Genomic DNA, 21442 nt, shown 5'->3' with positions numbered 1-21442 from the left:
GAAGAGATGGGGTTTCACTATGTTGGCCAGGCTGGTCTCAAATTCCTGACTTCAGGTGATCTGCCTGCCTCAGCCTCCCAAAGTGCTGGAATCACAGGCATGAGCCACTGTGCCCGACTCTTTTTTTTTTTTGAGACAGAGTCTTGCTGTGTCACTCAGGCTGGAGTGCAGTGGCGTGATCTCAGCTCACTGCAAGCCTCGCCTCCCAGGTTCACGCCATTCTCCTGCTTCAGCCTCCCGAGTAGCTGGGAGTACAGGTGCCCGCCACCATGCCCGGCTAATTTTTTGTATTTTTAGTAGAGACGGGGTTTCACCGTGTTAGCCAGGATGGTCTCGATCTCCTGATCTCGTGATCCACCCGTCTCGGCCTCCCAAAGTGCTGGGATTACAGGCATGAGCCACCGCGCCTGGCCTTTTTTTTTTTTAATGTCTTATTATACAGTCTTTTTATGACACAAGCTGAAAGTCACACACAATGTCATGCAACCACACCCATTAACACCGTCACACACTCACACACTTCACAGTCACCCACAGAGTCCTCAGTCACATTCCAACAACACACATTCCCCAACTGTCATGAGGCAAACACTCTCACACCGTCACCCTCACCCCCACGGTCACACTGAGTGACATGGTCATACAGACTCACAACTCTCCCTTAGTCTCACCCATATTCACAAGTCACATACAGTCATATACATGTCACGCACACAACCTCACTGTCCCATAGCTGTGCACGTCACAGTGACTTGTCACACCCTGCAATCCCACCTCCCACAGTCACGCACAGTCACACAGGTGCACACAGGGTCACACACACCATCGTGTCACAATTGCACACTAACCCATAGCCTCACATGGTCTCATCATGACAGTCGCCAGTGAATCACACACATTCTCTGCTGTCTCTACTTCCAGTCTGTTCCTTTGCCCTAAATATGGGGAACATCTGTACGTGACTGGGGGTGGGGGACAGGCTCAGAGCCCAGTCCCAGCTCCCAGCTCTCATCTCCTGTTAATACAAACTCCAATTCCTGCACATTAATCATACAATGGACATTTGTGAGCATGCACTCCCCTGGGACTCTAAGTGGGACAGAGGCGAGTCTGCCCATTTTGTAGAGGAGAAATTAAGGCCCAGAGGCCCCAGGAGGGACAGGGAGTAAGGGGTGGCATGAGGTCTGCACCAGAGGCTGGAAGGAGACAAGTCTCGGGGGAGGCGAGGGTTCTCGCTTCCTGGACTTAGGCTGCCTCCCCGCTCTCTGCCCCACATTCCTGGTGCCCTCCGGGTCCTGGGAAAGGCTCCTGTCCTGGAGTGGAGAGGGAAGGGGGTCTGAGATTGCCCAGCACCTTGGGAGAAGTTTAGGTTGGAAGGGAGTCTCTCCTTGGCCCCAATGAGGGCCTGAGGTCACTCCACAGAGGAAGGCAGTGAGGGGTGGGGAGGCTGTAGAGGGGGAAGGGAGAGGCTGGCAGGGAGGGGGAAGCAGTGGAGAGGAAATGAGCTGGTGGTGTGAAACAGGAAAAGGAGCTAAGAGCCTAGTGTGGTGGCTTACACCTGTAATCCCAGCACTTTGGGAGGCCAACATGGGAGGATCACTTAAGCCCAGGAGTTGGAGACCAGCCTGGGCAACATAGCCAGATCCCGTCTCTAAAAAAAAAATATTTTTTTTTTTCAGTTTTCCAATTAAAAAAAAAAATTTACCTTAAGTTCTGGGATACATGTGCTGAACGTACAGGTTTGTTACATAGGTATGCATATGCCATGGTGGTTTGCTGCATCTATCAACACGTCATCTAGAATTAAAAACAAAATTTTTGTTTTTTTTGAGACAGAGTTTCACTCTGTCGCCCAGGCTAGGGCAGAGATTGCAGTGAGCCAGGTTCAAGTGATTCTCCTGCCTCAGCCTCCCGAGAGGCTGGGATTACAGGCACCTGCCACCATGCCTGGCTATTTTTTTTTTTTTGTACTTTTAGCAGAGTTGGGTTTTCACCAAATTGGTCAGGCTGGTCTTGAACTCCTGACTTCAGGTGATTGGCCTGCCTCAGCCTCCCACAGTGCTGGGATTATAGGCATGAGCCACTGCGCCTGGCCAATTTTTTTTTTTTTTTGAGATGGAGTTTTGCTCTTGTTGCCCAAGCTGGAGTGCAATGGCACGATCTCGGCTCACGGCAACATCTGCCTCCTGGGTTCAAGTGATTCTCCTGCCTCCGCCTCCCAAGTAGCTGGGATTACAGGTGCGCACCACCATGCCCAGCTAAGTTTTTGTATTCTTAGTAGAAATGGGGTTTCACCATGTTAGCCATGGCTGGTTTCGAACTCCTGACTGCAGGTGATCTGCCCATCTCGGCTTTCCAAAGTGCTGGGATTACAGGCGTGAGCCACCGCGCCCGGCCTCTCAACATTTTTTTTTTTAATTAGCCAGGCATGGTGGTGGTGCGCCTGTGGTCCCAGCTACTTGGATGGCTGAGGCAGGAGGATTTGCTTGAGCTCAGGAAATTGAGGCTGCAGTGAGCTGTGATGATCGCGTAACTGCACTCCAGCCTGGGTGACAGAGTGAGATCCTGTCTCAAAAAAAAAAAAAAAAAAAAAAAAAAAGAAATCAAGGACCAAGAAAGATCTAGAGTGGGAGGCAGATAAAGACAAGAAGAGAGGCCAGACACAGTGGCTCATGCCTGTAATCCCAACACTTTGGGAGGCCAAGGCGGGCGGATCACCTGAGGTCAAGAGTTTGAGACCAGCCTGGACAACATAGTGAAACCATGTCTCTACTAAAATACAAAAATTAACTGGGTGTGGTGGTGCACACCTGTAATCCCAGCTGTTGGGGAGACTGAGGCAGGATAATTGCTTGAACCTAGGAGGCGGAGGTTGCAGTGAACTGAGATTGTGCCACTAAACTCCAGCCTGGGCGACAGAGCAAGACTCTGTCTCAAAAAAAAAAAAAAAAAAAAAAAAAAGCAAGAAGAGAAAGACCAAGAGAGAGAGACTACAAGAGAGAGACTAGAAGAAACAGAGAGAGAGAGAGAGAGAGGGGGAGAGAGAGACAGAGAGAGACAGCGACAGAGAGAAACACACACAGAGACAAACAGACAACACAGACACAGATAAGAGGGGGTGAGGGAGAGAAGCCAAGAAAGAGAAAACAGGGACTGAGCCGGAGAGAGACAGAGAGGCGCGGTGGGTCACACCTGTAATTCCAGAGCCCTGGGAGGCCGAGGTGGCTGGATCACCTGAGGTCACAAGTTGGAGACCAGCCTGGCCAACATGACGAAACCCCGGCTCTACTAAAAATACAAAAATTAGCCGGGCGTGGTGGTGGGCGCCTGTAGTCCTAGCTACTCGGGAGGCTGAGGCAGGAGAATCGCTTGAACCCGGGAGGCAGAGGTAGCAGTGAGCTGAGATCGTGCCTCTGCACTCCAGCCTGGGCGACAGAGCCAGACTGTCTCAAAAAAATAACCAGGGCCGGGCGCGGTGGCTCACGCCTGTAATCCCAGCACTTTGGGAGGCCGAGGCGGGTGGATCATGAGGTCAGGAGATCGAGACCATCCTAGCTAACACGGTGAAACCCCGTCTCTACTAAAAATACAAAAAATTAGCCAGGCATGGTGGTGGGCGCCTGTAGTCCCAGCTACTTGGGAGGCAGAGGCAGGAGAATAGCATGAACCCGGGAGGCAGAGCTTGCAGTGAGCCGAGATCGCGCCACTGCACTCCAGCCTGGGCAACAGAGCGAGACTCCGTCTCAAAAAATTAAATAAATAAATAACCAGAAAAGGCCTGGTGCGGTAGCTCACGCCTGTAATCCCAACACTTTGGGAGGCCGAGGCGGGTGGATCACGAGGTCAGGAGATCGAGACCATCCTAGCTAACACGGTGAAACCCCGTCTCTACTAAAAAACAAAAAATTAGCCGGGTGTGGTGGCGGGCGCCTGTAGTCCCAGCTACTCAGGAGGCTGAGGCAGGAGAATGGCGTGAACCCGGGAGGTGGAGCTTGCAGTGAGCTGAGATCGCGCCACTGCACTCCAGCCTGGGCGACAGAGCAAGACTCCATCTAAAAAAAAAAAAAAAAAAAAAAAATCCAGAAAAGAAACTGCGAGATGGAAAGGCTGAGTGAAAATTGCTTGAGCCCGGGGAGGGGGTCGAGGCTGCAGTGAGCTGTGATCATACCACTATACTCCAGCCTCGGCAACAGAGGGAGACCCTGTCTCAAAAGAAAAGAAGGGCAGGGGAGGGGAGGGGAGGGAAGGGAAAAGAAAAGAGGAGAGGCTAGGTGCCGTGGCTCACGCCTGTAATCCCAGCACTTTGGGAGACCGAGGTCAGGAGTTCGAGACCAGCCTGACCAACATGGTGAAACTCCATTTCTACTAAAATACAAAAGTTAGCTGGGTGTAGTGGCGCGTGCCTGTAATCCCAGCTGCTCGGGAGATTGAGGTGGGAGAATCACTTGAACCTGGGAGGCAGAGATTGCAGTGAGCTGAGACTGCACCACAGCGCTGGGCATCAGAGTGAGACTTCTGAAGACAGGATGAGGAGTCAGGGGTGGGTAGATGCCTGGTCTTCTGCCCACCTCAGCCCTCCTGGGGTCCTCTGTTGTCTCCCAGCGTCTGCAAAGGGGCTGGCTGCACAGGCTCCCTCCAGCTGCGTTGCTCATGGCTTCTGAAAACTTCAGGCCGAGAAACAGCATGCACCATCCCAACTCAGCCCCTCCCAGACAGCTGAGTTCCACGCCCCACTCCCGCAACAGGGGACTCAGAACCAGAGGAGCCTCATTCCCCAGCCTTTCCACACCCACCCCGATGGATCTCCATTTTCCGTCTCTAGTCTTGTTTAGCAAAACCTCTCCTACAACCCCTCTGCCTCTCCCATCTCTCTCCCACCTTCCCTGACCCAATGTCTCTCTCTCTTTCTGTCCATCCTACCTTGTTTCTCTCTTTCATCCAAATATCTCCTCACTCCTCTTCTTTTCTTTTGAGACAGGTTCTCCCTCTGTTGCCTAGGCTGGAGCACAGTAGAGTGATCACAGCTTAACGCAGCCTCGACCCCCCTACCTGGGTTCAAGCAATCCTCCCACCTCAGCCTCCTGAGTAGTTGGGACCACAGACGCATGCCACCATACCTGGCTAATTTTTGTTGTTGTTGTTGTTTGAGACGGAGTCTCACACTGTCGCCCGGGCTGGAGTTCCCTGGTGCGATCTCAGCTCACTGCAACCTCCACCTCCCAGGTTCAAGCGATTCTCCTGCCTCAGCCTCCCAAGTAGCTGGGATTACAGGCGCCTGCCACCATGCCTAGCTAATTCTTTGTATTTTTTTTAGTAGAGACGGCGTTTCACTGTGTTGGCCAGGCTGGTCTCAAACTCCTGACCTCATGATCAGCCCGCCTCGGCTTCCCAAAGTGCTGGGATTACGTGTCCAGCCTTTTGGTTTGTTTGTTTTTGTTTTTTTGAGATGGAGTTTGTCTCTGTCACCCAGGCTGGAGTGTAGTGGTGCCATCTCGGCTCACTGCAACCTCCACTTCCCGGGTTCAAGAGATTCTCGTGCCTCAGCCTCCCAGGTATCTGGGATTACAGCATGTGCCTACCATGCCCAACTAATTTTGTATTTTTCGTAGAGATGGGATTTCACCATGTTGGCCAGGCTGGTCTCGAACTCCTGGCCTCAGGTGATTCACCTGCCTTGGCCTCTCAAAGTGCTGGGATTACAGGTGTGAACCATGGTGCCCAGCCAATTTTTGTACTTTTTGTAGAGGTGGTGTCTCGCTATGTTGTCCAGGCTGGTCTTGAACTTCTGGGCTCAAGTGATTCATCTGCCTCAGCCTCCCAAAGTGCTGGGATTACAGGTGTGCACCACTGTGCCCTGCCTCTTTACTCCTTTTCTCTGAGCCCACACTCAGTTTGCCTCTGTCTTCCTCTCCTGTCTGTTGGGAAGGCTTTTCTCTTCTCTTTTTCCATGTTTCATTCTGCCTCTCTGCTGGGTTCTTTCACTCTCTCTCTCTCCCTCTGGATTAGCCTCATTTTGCCAGTCTTTAAAGTTTCTCCTTTCTCTTCCCCTTTTTCCATCTCCTCTCTGGGATTGCGTCTGTTTCTATCCATTGCCCCTGGTCCCTGGTCTCCTGGCTCTGGTCTCCTGCACTCCTGCCTCCCCCGGCCCTCCAGCAATGACCAGGCAGTGCCCCTGTCCAGGATGCAAGGGTGGGGTGGAAGCTGCAAGGCCTGTGTCTCCCCACATGGGGCTGCCTGGCTAAGCAGACCCTGCGGGGAGCAGGCGGGGGCCTGGGGTGCTGGCAGATGGTGCCAGAGAAATGAGGCAGAGAGAGATGGGGAGAGGGGGCACCCCGTGGGGACAGAGACCAGGAATGGGAAGCTGTGACAGCCCCCTCTCCATCTCGGAGATTCAGGACTGCAGAGAGATGAGGCCTGAATGACAGATACACAGAGACACACACATACACAGAAAGAGAAGAGATACAGAGAGTGAGAGAGACAGCAGAGCTGAGACAGAGACCTGGCGAGAGATGTGGGTCCAGGCACACACAGACAAACGGATGTGAACCAGAGAGAGGGGAGTCCAGAGATGGGAAGAGACAGAGATCCCGAGACAGAGGCCTGGAGAAACAAACAAAAAATATAGAGACCCAAAGAGAGACACAGACATGAAACCCAAGGAGAGACAGAGACACGGAGAGACAGAAACACAGAGATGGGGACCCAGAGAAAGAGGGACAGAGAGGACACCCAGAGAGATAAGACCTAAGAAACAAGGCTGGGCGTGGTGGCTCACACCTGTAATACCAGCACTTTGGGAGGCCGAGGCAGGTGGATCACCTGAGGTCAGGAGTTCGAGACCAGCCTGGCCAACATGGTGAAACCTCGTCTCTACTAAAAATTAAAAAATTAGCCGGGTGTGGTGGCGGGCACCTGTAATCCCAGCTACTCGGGAGGCTGAGACAGGAGAATCACTTGAACCCGGGAGGTGGAGGTTGCACTGATCCGAGATCGCAGGATGAGGCAGACAGATCGCTTGAGCTCAGGAGTTAGAGACCAGCCTGAACAATGTGGCAAAACTGCATCTCTACAAAAAAATATTAGCTGGGCATGGTGGCACGCACCTGTGGTCCCAGCTGCTGGGGAGGCTGAGGTGGGAGGATGGCTTGAGCCCGGGAGGCGGAGGTCACGCCACTACACTCCAGCCTGGGTGACAGAGTGAGACCCTATCTCAAAAAAAAAAAAAAAAAAAAAAAAGGAGAGAGAGACAGGGAGAGGGAAGGGGAGGAGAGGGGAAGGAAAGGGAAAGGAGGGGAACAGAGAGGGACGAAAACAGAGAGAGGGACTTATATCCCAGAAGAGAACAGGGATTAAGTCAGACTCCGTGAGACAGAGACGCATGGCTCCCCTCGGCGTCTTCCAGCCTAGTCTGGGAGGGCACATCTCCATAGCGACCTCCCCAGATCCTGAGGGCAAATATTGTCCTGGCCAGAAGCGTCTGGGCTATGTTGACATAATCTCATGCGGGAGGGGGAGGTGGGGGCTCCAGGGCCTCAGAGGCCAGCAGAGGGGCTCTCAGCTGGGGCCCTAGAGACGGCTCCAAAACCCAGTGTAAACCGCCAGCCCTGGGAAGGATCAATTGAAAGATTCAAACTTGTAGGGGTCCCTGATTGCTCCCTGGTAGTGCTCAGCAAGCCCCTAAGCCCCTTTTCAAGCCTCAGGGAGAGCAGGCAAACCTAGGCCTTTCCCTCTAGGCTATTTTTTTTTTTTTTTTCGAGCAGCGTCTTGCTCTGTCGTCCAGACTGGAGTGGAGTGATACAATCATGGCTCACTGCAGCTTTGACCTCCTGGGCTCAATGATCCTCCCACCTCAGCCTCCCCAGTAGCTAGGACTACAGGCACAGGCCACAAAGTGCAGCTAATTTATTTATTTGTTTGTTTAATTATTATGATTTTTTGAGATGGGATTTTGCTCTGTCACCCAGGCTAGAGTGCACGATCTCGGCTTACTGCAACCTCTGCTTCCTGGGTTCACGCGATTCTCATGCCTCAGCCTGCTGAGTGGCTGGGTTTACAGGTGGCCTCCACCACGCTCGGCTATATTTTTATTTTTTTTTTAGAGATGGGGTCTCACTCTGTTGCCCAGGCTGGTCTTGAACTCCTGTCCTAAAGAAAGCCTCTTGGCTAGGAGTTGTAGCTCACAGCTGTAATCCCAGCACTTTGGGAGGCCAAGGTGGGTGGATTGCTTGAGCCCAGGAGTTGGAGACCAGCCTGGGCAACATCGTGAAACCCTATCTCTACAAAAAATACGAAAAATTAATGGCGTGGTGGTGCATGCCTGTAGTCCCAGCTAGTTGGGAGGCTGAGATGGGAGGATTGCTTGAGCCCCGGAGGTCCAGGCTACAGTGAGCCAAGATGATGCCACTGCACTCCAGCCTGGGTGACAGTGAGACCCTGTCTCAAAACAAAATAAAACAAAACATAAAAAAGAGATCCAGTTGGCTGGGCGCAGTGGCTGACGCCTGTAATCCCAGCACTTTGGGAGGCCGAGGTGGGCGGATCACGAGGTCAGGAGATTGAGACCATCCTGGCTAACACAGTGAAACCCTCTCTCTACTAAAAATATGAAAAAATTAGCTGGGCGTGGTGGCGGGCGCCTGTAGTCCCACCTGCTGGGGAGGCTGAGGCAGGAGAATGGCATGAACCCAGGAGGCAGAGCTTGCAGTGAGCCGAGATCGCACCACTGCACTCCAGCCTGGGCGATAGTGAGTGCAAGACTCTATCTCAAAAAAAAAAAAAAAGAGAGAGAGAGATCCAGTCCGGGTGCAGTGGCTCACACCTGTAATCCTAGCGCTTTGGGAGGCCGAGGTGGGTGGATCACCTGAGATCAGGAGTTCGAGACCAGCCTGGCCAAGATGATGAAACCCTGTCTCTACTAAAAATACAAAAAATTAGCTGGGTGTGGTGGCGTGCGCCTACAATCCCAGCTACTCAGGAGGCTGATACAGGAGAATCACTTGAACCCAGGAGGCGGAGGTTGTGGTGAGCCGAGATCGCGCCACTGCACTCCAGCCTGGGCAACAAGAGCAAAACTCCATCTCAAAAAAAAAAAAAAAAAAAAAAAGAGATCCACCGCCTCAGTTTCCCAAAGTGCTGGGATTATAGGCGTGAGCCACCGTGCCCAACACTATGTGCCCTATGAGGGCAGGACTGGGGCTGTCTCAGTCACTGCTGTGTCTCCAGCATTGCCCAACATTGGTTCAGCAGAGGTCAGAGTTCAATGCATTTTACTGGACGTTTGTTACATGCCAGGCTATGAGCTTGGCAATGCTGGGGACCCTGGTGACTGGGACAGCTCTTGCTCTGGCTTTGTGAAGCTCCCAGCTCAAACATAAACCCAAGTAGGGGGACGAGCTGACAGAATGAGACGTAGAGAGAGAAACACAAAGAAAGAGGCCAGGCATGGTGGCTCACACCTGTAATCCCAGCACTTTGGGAGGCTGGGATGGGAGGATCGCTTGAGCCCCGGAGTTCGAGACCAGCCTGGGCAACATAGTGAGACTCTGTCTCTACAAAAAAAATTTTTAAAAATTAGCAAAGCACGGCTGCTCGTTCGTGTAGTCCCAGATACTCAGAAGGGTGAGGCAGGAGGATCACTTGAGCCTAAGAGGTTGAGGCTGCTGTGGGCCATGATTGCACCACTGCACTCCAACCTGGGCAATAGAGCGAGATTCTGTCTCAAAAAACAAACAAACAAAAAATGAAAGAATGAAAGAAAGTAGCCAGGTGCGGTGGCTCACGCCTGTAATCCCAGCACTTTGGGAGGCCGAGGCTGGTGGATCATGAGGTCAGGAGTTTAAGACCAGCCTGGCCAAGATGGTAAAACCCTGTCTCTACTAAAAATACAAAAAATTAGCCGGGCGTGGTGGCGGGCTTGTAATCCCAGGTACTGGGAAGCCTGAGGCTAGAGAATTGCTTGAACCTGGGAGGCAGAGTTTGTAGTGAGCCGAGATCACACCACTGCACTCCAGCCTGGACGACAGAGTGAGACTCCATCTCAAGTAAATAAATAAATAAATAAATAAATAAATGTAAAAAAGAGATGCTGAGAGAAAAACAGAGTCTGAGATTAGTATCAGTAATAATAATACTAATGGCCACCATATTGGATATTTTACACATCTATATGTCCCTTCTCATAACAGACCTATAGCAGAGGTGTTATATTATCCCCATTTTCTGGATAGGGAAACTGAGGCCCAGAGAAGGGAAGTAACTTGATCAGGGTGACATGTCTCATAGGTGTTGAAATCAGGACCCGGGTTGTCTTTTGAGAAGGAGTCTCATTCTATTGCCCTGGCTGGCGTGCATAGGCACGATCTTGGCTCACTGAATGCAGTGGTGCAATCTTGGCTTACTACAACCTCCACCTCCTGGGTTCAAGCAATTCTCTTGCCTCATCCTCCCCAGTAGCAAGGATTACAGGTGCCCACCACCACATCAGGCTAATTTTTGTATTTTTAGTAGAGACGGGGTTTCACCATGTTGGCCAGGCTGGTCTCAAACTCCTGACCTCAGGTGATCTGCCTGCCTCGGCCTCCCAAAGTGCTGGGATTACAGGCATGAGCCACCACACTTGGCCAGTTAACTTTGAAATCCAATTTCTTTTTCTTTTCTTTTTTTTTAAGACAGAGTCTCACTCTTGTTGCCCAGGCTGGAGTGCAATGGTGCGATCTCAGCTCACCATCTGCCTCCTGGGTTCAAGAAATTCTCCTGCCTCAGCCTCCCAAGTAGCTGGGATTACAGGCATGCGCCACCAGGCCCAGCTAATTTCTTTTTGTCTTTTTCTTTTTTTTTTTTTTTTTGAGACAGGGTCTCGCTCTGTCTCCTGAGTGCAGTGGCGCAATCTCGGCTCACTGCAAGCTCCGCCTTCCGGGTTCATGCCATTCTCCTGCTCAGCCTCCCGAGTAGCTGGGACTATAGGTGCCCTCCACCACACCCGGCTAATTTTTTGTATTTTTAATAGAGACAGTGTTTCACCGTGTTGGCCAGGATGGTCTTGATCTCCTGACCTTGTGATCCGCCCGCCTTGGCCTCCAGAAGTGCTGGGATTCCAGGCTTGAGCCACCACGCCCAGCAATTTTGTATTTTTAGTAGAGACGGGGTTTCTGCATGTTGATCAGGCTGGTCTCGAACTCCTGACCTCAGGTGATCCGCCTGCCTCGGCCTCCCAAAGTACTAGGATGAAATCCAATTTCTATACAGAAACATGAAGAAAAACAGAGATAGAGATGAGAGCGAAAAGCCTTAGGGAGAAGGAAACCTGGAGGCAGAAAGACAGAGACTGTGAGCCCTGCCTGCCCGCACCCCCTCCTCAGACAGAGCCGCCCTCTCCCCACGCCTATCTCCCACATCCTTGACACCTCCCTGCGAAAGCACTTGTCATCAAACCAGCTCCGTTACCTGTACCCCCAAACCACTGTGCTGGGCACTTTATCAGCATGAGCCCATTCAACCTGCTCTGCTCCCCTGGGAAGTGGGGGCTGGGATGACTCCCGTTTTGCAGAGGAGGAAAAACCAAGCCAAGATCACTTAGCTCGCATGGACCCTGACAGTGGTCCCTGCACTGAGGCTGGGAGCCCCTCAAGGGCAAGGACTAGGTCTGACTCATCTTTGTGTGTCATCTCCCACCTCCCATAACTCATCAAGCTAAATCCCTGTGCCTGGCTCTCCTCCCTCCTCCTCCCGCACCATATGGAGCCCATGGATCTGAATTCCCCTGGGCCTCCACGGTCCTCTCGGGACACCCCAGTAACAGCCCTTAACACTTTGCAGCCTGCTTCAGAATTCTGTATCTGGGTGTCTGACTTCCCCTCTCCTAGAATCTGAGCTCAAGAGGATTGGCGGGTGGGAGAAGCGTGATTTGGGCGGCAGAAAACCTCCTGCGTTGTTTCTATCAGTAACACAATTAGTGGTGATTTGGGCGGCAGAAAACCTCCCGCGTTGTTTCTACCAGTAACACAATTAGCGGTGATCGTGGGAGGATAAGGACCCACGGCTATTTTGGTCATCACTTTGAACCCATCATTGATTTTTTATTTGTTTATTTTATTTATTTATTTATTTATTTATTTATTTATTTATTTATTTGAGACAGAGTCTCGCTGTATCGCCCAGGCTGGAGTGCAGTGGTGCAATCTCGGCTCACTGCAAGCTCCGCCTCCTGGGTTCACGCCATTCTCCTGCCTCAGCCTCCCGAATAGCTGGGACTACAGGGCCCGCCACCACACCCGGCTAATTTTTTGTATTTTTTTTTTTTTTAGTAAAGACGGGATTTCACCGTGTTAGCCAGGATAGTCTCGATCTCCTGCCCTCGTGATCTGCCCGCCTCGGCCTCCCAAAGTGCTGGGATTACAGGCGTGAGCCACCGCACCCGGCCTATTTATTTATTATTTTTTAAGAGATGGGGGTCTCACGGCCGGGCGCTCGGTCTCACTTTGGGAGGCCGAGGCGGGTGGATCACGAGGTCAGGAAATCGAGACCATCCTGGCTAACACGGTGAAACCCTGTCTCTACTAAAAACTACAAAAAACAAATTAGCCGGGCGCGGTGGCCGGCGCCTGTAGTCCCAGCTACTCGAGAGGCTGAGGCAGGAGAATGGCGGGAACCCGGGAGGCGGAGCTTGTAGTGAGCCGAGATCGCGCCACTGCACTCCAGCCTCGGAGACAGAGCGAGACTCCGTCTCAAAAAAAAAGATGGGGTTTCACTATGCCACCCAGAATGGAGTGCAGTGGTGCCATCCTAGCTCACAACAGCCTCGAACTCCTGGGCTCAAGTGATCCTCCAGCCTCAGCCTCCCAAGTAACTGGAGCTACATGCATGAGCTACCATGCCTGCCTATTTTTCTTTTTTTAGACCTGTTCAACAAGAAGTAAGCCCAACTGGCCAGGCACGGTGGCTCACGCTTATAATCCCAGCACTTTGAGAGGCCAAGGTGGGTGGACCACCTGAGGTCAGCAGTTCGAGAGCAGCCTGGCCAACATAGTAAAACCCCCGTCTCTACTAAAAATACAAAAATTAGCCGAGCATGGTTGCACGTGCCTGTAATCCCAGCTACTTGGGAGGCTGAGGCAGGTGAATCGCTTGGACCCAGGAGGTGGAGATTGCAGTGAGCAGAGATTGCACCATTGCACTCCAGCCTGGGCAACAAGAGCAAAACTCCATCTCAAAAAAAAAAAAAAAAAAAAAAAAAAAAAGTAAGCCCAGCTAATTTTTAAATATTTTGTAGAGAGGAGCTCTCGCTATATTGCCTAGGCTGGTCTCAAATTCCTGGCCTCAAGTGATCCTTCTGGGCTTAGGCCTCCCAAAGTGCTGAAAGTATAGATGTGAGCCACCATACCCAGTCCTATTTATTACTTTTGTTTTTTTGTTTTTTTTAGATGATGTCTTGCTCTGTCGCCCAGGCTGGAGTGCAGTGGCGCAATCTCCACTCACTGCAACCTCCACCTCCCTGGTTCAAGCGATTCTTCTGCCTCTGCCTCCTGAGTAGCTGGGATTACAGGCACATACCACCACGCCCTGCTAATTTTTTGTATTTTTAGGATGGGTTTTCACTATGTTGGCCAGGCTGGTCTTGATCTCCTGACCTCGTGATCCACCTGCCTCAGCCTCCCAAAGTGTTAGGATTACAGGCATGAGCCACTGCACCCAGCCCCTGTTTTTTACTTTTTATGAGATAGGTTCTCGCCATGTTGCCCAGACTGGAGTGCAGTGGCTATTCACAGGCGGGATCCCACTACTGATCAGCATGGGAGTTTTGCCCTATTCCCTTTCTGACCTGGGCCAGTTCACCCCTCCTTAAGCAACTGGTGGTCCCCCACTCCAAGGGGTACCGTATTAATGCTGAACTGAGTGCAGACACCTAATTGCCATAGTGGACTACAGCCCAAACTCGTGAGCTCAACAGATCCTCCCACCTTAGCCTCTCAAGTAGCTGGGACTACAAACACATGCCACTGTGCCCGGCCCATCATTGATGCCTCATTGTGTGCTAGGCATTGTACTCACGTATAATTTTTTTTTCTTTTTTGAGACAGAGTGTTGCTCTGTCGCCCAGGCTGGAGTCCAGGGGCACCATCTTGGCTCAGTGCAACCTCTGCCTCCAGGGTTCAAGCAATTCTCCTGTCTCAGCCTTCTGAATAGCTGGGATTACAGGCATGCTCCACTATGCCTGGCTAATTTTTGTATTTTTAGTAGAGATAGGGTTTCGCCATATTGGCCAGGCTGGTCTGGAACTCCTGACCTCAAGTGATCCACCCACCTCGGCCTCCCAAAATGCTGGGATTACAGGCGTGGCCTGGCCACTCATATATAATTTATATCTGTGGCCTCACTGTGGCTTGTGGAGGATACAGTGACAAACTGCCAAAGTCTTCCCCCAGCCTTTGAGGCCCTGCAAGATATGGAAGGCCCATAGCCTCCCTGGCCTCGCATCCCCCCCTTCCCCTATCTCTCCACAGCTTCATCGTCATCAACCTTCTGGTTGCCCCAGGAATATGCTAAACTCAAACCAACCTCGGGACTTTTGCACTTGCTGTTTCCTCTGCCTAGAAATCCCCTGCCTCCCAACTCCAGGCATAACTGCTTCCTTCTTGTTTTTCTTTTTCTTTCTTTCTTTTTTTTTTTTTTTTTGTTCTTTCTTTTTTTGTGAGATGAAGTCTCATTCTGTCACCCAGGCTGGAGTGCAATGGTGTGGTCTCTGCTCACTGCAACCTTCACCTCCCTGGTTCAAGCAATTCTCCTGCCACAGCCTCCCAAGTAGCTGGGATTACAAGTGCATGCCACTATGCCTAGCTAATTTTTGTATTTTTAGTAGAAACAAGGTTTCACCGTGTTGGCCAGGCTGGTCTCGAACTCCTGACCTCAGGTGATCTGCCTGCCTCGGCCTCCCAAACTGCTGGGATTACAGGCATGAGCCACCGTGCCCAACCCTTCTTATTTTTCACATGTCAGCTCAAATGTCATTTCCTCAGAGGTAACTGCCCTGGATCTAGGGTCTCTAAATGAGCCTCCTGCTCCCTTTTTTTACTATATTATCCTGTCTGTACACCTTCTTGCTCTGTTGCCCAGGCTGGAGTGCAGTGGCATGATCATAGCTTGCTGCAGTCTCGACCTCCTGGGTTCAAGTGATCCTCCCACCTCAGCCTTCCAAGTAGCTGGAACTACAGGCGTGCACCACCATGTCAGGAGGATGAAAAATTTTGTTTTGGCCGGGTGCGATGGCCCACACCTGTAATCCCAGCACTTTGGGAGGCCGGTGTGGGCGGATCATGAGGTCAGGAGTTCCAGACCAGCGTGGCCAACATAGTGAACCCTCGTCTCTACTAAAAATACAAAAATTAGCCAGGCATTGTGGCGCGAGCCTGTAGTCCCAGCTACTTGGGAGGCTGAGGCAGGAGAATTGCTTGAGCCCGGGAGGCGGAGGTTGTCGTGAGTTGAGATCATGCCACTGCACTCCAGCCTGGGCAACAGAGCGAGACTTCATCTCAAAAATAAATAAATAAAAATAAAAATACAAAAAAATTAGCCGGGCGTGGTGGTGGGTGCCTGTAATCACAGCTACATGGGAGGCTAAGGCTGGAGAATTGCTTGAACCTGGGAAGCGGAGATTGCAGTGAGCCAAGATCGTGCCGTTGCACTCCAGCCTGGGCGACAAGAGCAAGACTCTATCTCAAAAGAAAAAAAAAAAAAGAAAGAAATTTTGTTTTGTAGCCACGGGGTCTTGCTTTGTTGCCCAGGCTGATCTCGCACCCCTACAATCCCCCTTCTTTGGCCTTTGAAAGTGCTGGGGATTAACAGGTTGAGTCACTGCCACACTGTTTCTGTATCATCATCTCTAAAATGGTGATTAAAATTGAACTTTTACTGGGTGCGGTTGGCTCACACCTGTAATCCTAACATTTTGGGAGGCTGAGACGGGAGGATCACTTTAGGTCAGGAGTTAGAGACCAGCTTGGCCATTATGGTGAAACCCTGTGTCTACTAAAAATACAAAAATTAGCCAGGCATGGTGGTGCACACTTGTAATCCCAGCTGCTGGGGAGGCTGAGGCACGAGAATCGCTTGAATCTGGGAGGTGGAGGTTGCAGTGAGCCAAGATCATGCCACTGCATTACAGCCAGGGCAAGAGTGAGTGAGACACATCTATTATTCCGGCACTTTGACAGGCCCAGGCCGAAGGATCACTTGAGGCCAGGAGTTTGAGACCAGCTTTGGCAATATAGCAAGAGCTCCTCTGTACAAAATATTTTTTTTTCTTTTTTTTTTTTAATTGATCATTCTTGGGTGTTTCTCGCAGAGGGGGATTTGGCAGGGTCACAGGACAATAGTGGAGGGAAGGTCAGCAGATAAACAAGTGAACAGAGGTCTCTGGTTTTCCTAGGCAGAGGACCCTGCGGCCTTCCGCAGTGTTTGTGTCCCTGGGTACTTGAGATTAGGGAGTGGTGATGACTCTTAAGGAGCATGCTGCCTTCAAGCATCTGTTTAACAAAGCACATCTTGCACCACCCTTAATCCATTCAACCCTGAGTGGACACAGCACATGTTTCAGAGAGCACAGGGTTGGGGGCAAGGTCACAGATCAACAGGATCCCAAGGAAGAAGAATTTTTCTTAGTACAGAACAAAATGAAAAGTCTCCCATGTCTACCTCTTTCTACACAGACACGGCAACCATCCGATTTCTCAATCTTTTCCCCACCTTTCCCCCCTTTCTATTCCACAAAACCGCCATTGTCATCATGGCCCGTTCTCAATGAGCTGTTTGGTACACCTCCCAGACGGGGTGGTGGCCGGGCAGAGGGGCTCCTCACTTCCCAGTAGGGGCAGCCGGGCAGAGGCGCCCCTCACCTCCTGGACGGGGCGGCTGGCCGGGCGGGGGGCTGACCCCCCCACCTCCCTCCCGGACGGGGCGGCTGGCCGGGCGGGGGGCTGACCCCCCCACCTCCCTCCCGGACGGGGCGGCTGGCCGGGCGGGGGGCTGACCCCCACCTCCCTCCCAGACGGTGCGGCTGGCCAGGCAGAGGGGCTCCTCACTTCCCAGTAGGGGCAGCCGGGCAGAGGCGCCCCTCACCTCCTGGACGGGGCGGCTGGCCGGGCGGGGGGCTGACCCCCCCACCTCCCTCCCGGACGGGGCGGCTGGCCGGGCGGGGGGCTGACCCCCCCACCTCCCTCCCGGACGGGGCGGCTGGCCGGGCGGGGGGCTGACTCCCACCTCCCTCCCAGACGGGGCGGCTGGCCTGGCGGAGACGCTCCTCACTTCCCAGACGGGGTGGCTGCCGGGCGGAGGGACTCCTCACTTCTCAGACGGTGCGGCTGCTGGGCGGAGGGGCTCCTCACTTCTCAGACGGGGCGGCCGGGCAGAGACGCTCCTCACATCCCAGACGGGGCGGCAGGGCAGAGGCGCTCCCCACATCTCAGACGATGGGCGGCCGGGCAGAGACGCTCCTCACTTCCTAGATGGGATGGCGGCCGGGAAGAGGCGCTCCTCACTTCCCAGATGGGGTGGCGGCTGGGCAGAGGCTGCAATCTCGGCACTTTGGGAGGCCAAGGCAGGCGGCTGGGAGGTGGAAGTTGTAGCGAGCCGAGATCACGCCACTGCATTCCAGCCTGGGCACCATTGAGCACTGAGTGAACGAGACTCCGTCTGCAATCCCGGCACCTCGGGAAGCCGAGGCTGGTGGATCACTCGTGGCTAGGAGCTGGAGACCAGCCCGGCCAACACAGCAAAACCCCGTCTCCACCAAAAAAATACGAAAACCAGTCAGGCGTGGCGGCGTGCGCCTGCAATCGCAGGCACTCGGCAGGCTGAGGCAGGAGAATCAGGCAGGGAGGTTGCAGTGAGCCGAGATGGCAGCAGTACAGTCCAGCTTCAGCTCTGCATCAGAGGGAGACCGTGGAAAGAGAGGGAGAGGAGGGAGAGGAGGGAGAGGAGGGAGAGGGAGAGGGAGAGGGAGAGGGAGAGAGCTATAATCATGTTACTGCACTCCAGCTTGAGCAACAGTGGGAGACCCAGTTTCTTAAGAAGAAAAAAAAAAAAGGAAAAAGTATCCCAGCACTTTGAGAGGTCGAGGCGGGCGGATCACAAGGTCAGAAGTTTGAAACCAGCCTGGCCAACATGGTGAAACCCCGTCTCTACTAAAAATACAAAAATTAGCTGGAAGTGGTGGCAGGCACCTGTAGTCCTAGGTACTCGGGAGGCTGAGGCAGGAGAATCGCTTGAACCCAGGAGGCGGAGATTGCAGTGAGCCAAGATCGCGCCTCTGCTCTCCAGCTCTGTTGCCCAGACTGGAGTACAGTGGCACGATCTTGGCTCACTGCAACCTCCGCCTCCCAGGCTCAAGCAATTCTCCACAAAATATTTTTAAAATATAAAAAAATAGGCCGGGCGCGGTGGCTCACGCCTGTAATCCCAGCACTTTGGGAAGACGAGGCGGGAGGATCATGAGGTCAAGAGATCGAGACCATCCTGGCCAACATGGTGAAACCCCATCTCTACTAAAAATACAAAAATTAGCTGGGCGTGGTGGCGTGCGCCTGTAGTCCCAGCTACTCTGAAGGCTGAGGCAGGAGAATCGCTTGAACCCAGGAGGCGGAGGTTGCAGTGAGTTGAGATTGTGCCACTGTACTACATCCTGGGCGACAGAGAGAGACTCCGTCTCGAAAACAAACAAGCAAACAACAACAACAACAACAACAAAATAGGGCTTTTGGTGAGGATAACTGAGTGCTTTGCCCATAGTGACTGCTGATTAAACGTTAGGTATTGTTATTTATTTTGTGTATGATTGTTTACCTCTTCCATTAAATGAACAATACATGAGAGGAAACAGGTTCACTTGGTCATTCCGAAAACTTCAGCACCTAGAACAGAGCCTGGCCCGTTAGGCACTCAGTAAACATTTTTGAATGAATGAATGAGGCAGGCGCGATTATGAGCCCCCACTTTCCAGATGAGGAAGTGGAGCTTTAGGGTCACGAAACCAGAAAGTGGAGGAGTCAGGATTCAAACCCAGGTCAATCTGCTTCCAAAACTTCTACTTTTCATCTCTGTGTCCAGAGGGAATTCTTTTTCGGCTCCGGACTTCACTTCTCCTGCCTATACTCTAGGTGTTTACCGTCGTTGGAGACTTGAGGAAGGCGGTCCAATATTCTTGAAATCCATTGTCGGGTTTTGTACCCTCCCCTTTTCCCCCACAACTTTCGAGCCATCTCTGCCTGACACGCGGGCTAGTCCAAGCCTCACAACTGGGCCTGTGCCAAAGCCCGGACTGGATAATGCGGTTGTGGGAGGCTAGGGCTCTAAGGGCGGAGCTAAGGGCCTGGGGCCGCAGACAGAGCGGTGGGGAAAGTTAGGGAGGGACTACCAGACCGCGGGGGGAGGGATTTAAATTCCGAGGCCAGAGCTAATCCTATAAGAAGGTCCTGTCCAGAGCTCTGGAGAAGTACTATACTATAAACCCTTGGCGGTTCAGGGGCGGTGCTAATGATTCCGTGGGTAGGAATAAAACTTTAGCACCCGCAAGATTCTGGGGGTGGGGCTAAGAGCCTGGGGGTGGGCCTAGATGTCATAAACAAGAGCTCCCTGGGCGGGTTTGGGGCTCTAAGGTCGGGCCCTGGCCTTACGGAGGGGGCTTTTGGAAAATCCAATGAAAGTCTGAAGAGGTTTTGGGGATAGTGGAGTGTCTTCCTCCACACCATCCTCCTCCCGGAGCTCGGGGCTGCGCTTCAGGCTGAAAGCAGGAAAGACCCTGCCCCTTCCAATCCCTCTGCATCCCTATTGGTGAAGGGCCCTGCGCGACAGGCTCTCATTGGTTCTGAACGGGCGAGGAGGGGGGTCTAGAGAGACTATACTCCGGTTGTGGGCGGGACCAGACGGTACCTAGGGGGATCCGGGCGCAGCCAATCCTGGCCCTAGGATTGTGTTGGGGGGCTTGGCAGGCGGTGTCCCGACCCCCCTTTCTGGGCATCCTGGGGATGACCCCAGCGCCGGGCCCGGCGCCGGCCGCCTGATGCCAGGCGAGCTGAGCTGGGGATGCTGGAACGAAGGGCGTTGCTATGGCAACGGGAGGCAGGGCCTGGTTGGGGGGACCGGGCCCGGGCTGGGACCGGGGGGGCCGGCGGTGGCTGTGGTGGGGCGATGGCGGAGCGCGGCCCGGCCTTCTGCGGCCTGTACGACACGTCCTCGCTGCTGCGATACTGCAACGGTGAGACCCCTCCTCAGTTCCGACCTTGGCCCCGCCCAAGGCTGGACCCATCTCTTCTTGCCCCAGCCTCCTCCTTGCAAGTCCCCAACCCCCTCCCTTGCTGAAGATCCCCCTTTTCTCTCCCTCAGCAGGACCCTGACCCAAGAGCAAGGTCCCTGGTCCCCAAAACCTAGATCCCAGCCCCCCATCCACTTGGATCCTTCTGTACTCCCGAGGTGGCTAGACGGAGAGGAGAGAAGGGGGCAGAACCCGAAGGAACCTGGGATTGGAAGGGGGAACGGCCTGGGGGTCGATTGGGCCTGGAACTCTGCCCTTTCTCTCTCCCCTCAAGCTTCTGGAATGCTCCCCTATCTCCATAGCAGGGGGACAGACAGAGGGGGTGGGGGTGGATTTGGTGTTGAGTTGAGGGCAGAGTGTGGGACTGGAAAGGGACGGCCAGAGGACTTTGCTTCTAGGATACCTCCCAAATCCTCTGGCCCTGGCCCTCCCATGCATTAGCACCATCCCTTCTCCCTAGACAAATGGGTGTGATACCAGAAGGACCACTGTGGGTGTCGGGCTCAGGTGAGGGGAGATAGGAGAAGAGGGGAGTTGGGAGGGAAAAGTGGGAAGTGAGGCCTGGTCTCTGGGAAAAGGCTGAGGATGGGGGGATGGTCAGGAGGGAGCGGAGGGCTTGAGTCACAGGGATGGGGATGGTGGAGGTGTGGGGGTTGGTAGGATGGGCTGGCCAAGGCCTGACAGTGCAGCTGGCCTCTCTGGGTGGGGCAGAAGGGTCAAGATGAAAGCACCTCTATTAACTCAGTTTGGAGGTTCAGTCCTCTGGGCACACACCCTAGTGCCAGGGACCACTGGAATTGGCAGGGGACCCAGAATGCTTATTTTGTCCTCCTCTGTCCCTCTAAGAGCCAGAATGACAGGGTGGCCATTCCTGTTGAGTATGGGTTCTTCCATTGAACGGCTGTGTGTCCGTGTAACAAGTAACGTCACCTTTCTGGGCTTCAGTAACCTTCCTCCTCCTCTCCTCCTAAAATGGATTATGCTACTACAACTACTAGAGTTGCCAAAAGCATTAGGTATCATAAAAATAGTTAATCCTATTCTGGATTTATCGAGCATCAACATGAGCCGGGAACGTGCTAAATGTTTTGCGTGAGCAGTGCCTGGCACATGTAAGCTCACAGTAACAGATGCCATTTT

The 21442-nt window shown here is 53.0% G+C and overlaps 1 protein-coding gene and 1 pseudogene across 5 annotated transcripts in view, besides 4 other annotated features; one reads left to right on the top strand and one right to left on the bottom strand.

Annotated features, from left to right (window-relative positions):
• RN7SL836P (RNA, 7SL, cytoplasmic 836, pseudogene) lies at positions 13713 to 14008 on the bottom strand (annotated as a pseudogene).
• Positions 17109 to 17969: an enhancer, noted in NCBI's record as "H3K27ac hESC enhancer chr19:46150807-46151667 (GRCh37/hg19 assembly coordinates)". NCBI's record gives its function as "activates a minimal SCP1, AML or CMV promoter by ChIP-STARR-seq in naive H9 embryonic stem cells {active_cell/tissue: H9 hESC(naive)}" and the evidence as "EXISTENCE:reporter gene assay evidence [ECO:0000049][PMID:30033119]".
• Positions 19207 to 19266: a silencer, noted in NCBI's record as "silent region_10786". NCBI's record gives its function as "represses an Ori minimal core promoter by ATAC-STARR-seq in GM12878 lymphoblastoid cells {active_cell/tissue: GM12878}" and the evidence as "EXISTENCE:reporter gene assay evidence [ECO:0000049][PMID:35858748]".
• Positions 19367 to 19636: an enhancer, noted in NCBI's record as "active region_14809". NCBI's record gives its function as "activates an Ori minimal core promoter by ATAC-STARR-seq in GM12878 lymphoblastoid cells {active_cell/tissue: GM12878}" and the evidence as "EXISTENCE:reporter gene assay evidence [ECO:0000049][PMID:35858748]".
• Positions 19630 to 20129: an enhancer, noted in NCBI's record as "H3K27ac-H3K4me1 hESC enhancer chr19:46148647-46149146 (GRCh37/hg19 assembly coordinates)". NCBI's record gives its function as "activates a minimal SCP1, AML or CMV promoter by ChIP-STARR-seq in naive H9 embryonic stem cells {active_cell/tissue: H9 hESC(naive)}" and the evidence as "EXISTENCE:reporter gene assay evidence [ECO:0000049][PMID:30033119]".
• Positions 19889 to 21442, top strand: part of EML2 (EMAP like 2) — a 36230-nt gene continuing 34676 nt past the window's right edge. For 3 of the 5 annotated variants that reach the window (NR_147901.2, NR_147899.2, NR_147900.2), the window contains exon 1: positions 20155 to 20245. Coding sequence is in view for 2 of the 5 variants with exons in the window: in NM_001352052.1 (NP_001338981.1) it covers positions 20074 to 20245 (172 nt within the window). In the remaining 3 variants the exon portion in view is untranslated. Of the gene's footprint in view, positions 20246 to 21442 lie in introns of all 5 variants that reach the window. The other 2 variants (NM_001352052.1, NM_001193268.3) reach the window with 2 other exon arrangements.

This window comes from Homo sapiens, chromosome 19, assembly GCF_000001405.40.
Source record: "Homo sapiens chromosome 19, GRCh38.p14 Primary Assembly".
Classification (NCBI taxonomy): Eukaryota; Metazoa; Chordata; class Mammalia; order Primates; family Hominidae; genus Homo; species Homo sapiens.
The sequence above is the reverse complement of the archived record's forward strand: the minus strand, read 5'-3'. Positions and strand labels throughout refer to the sequence as shown.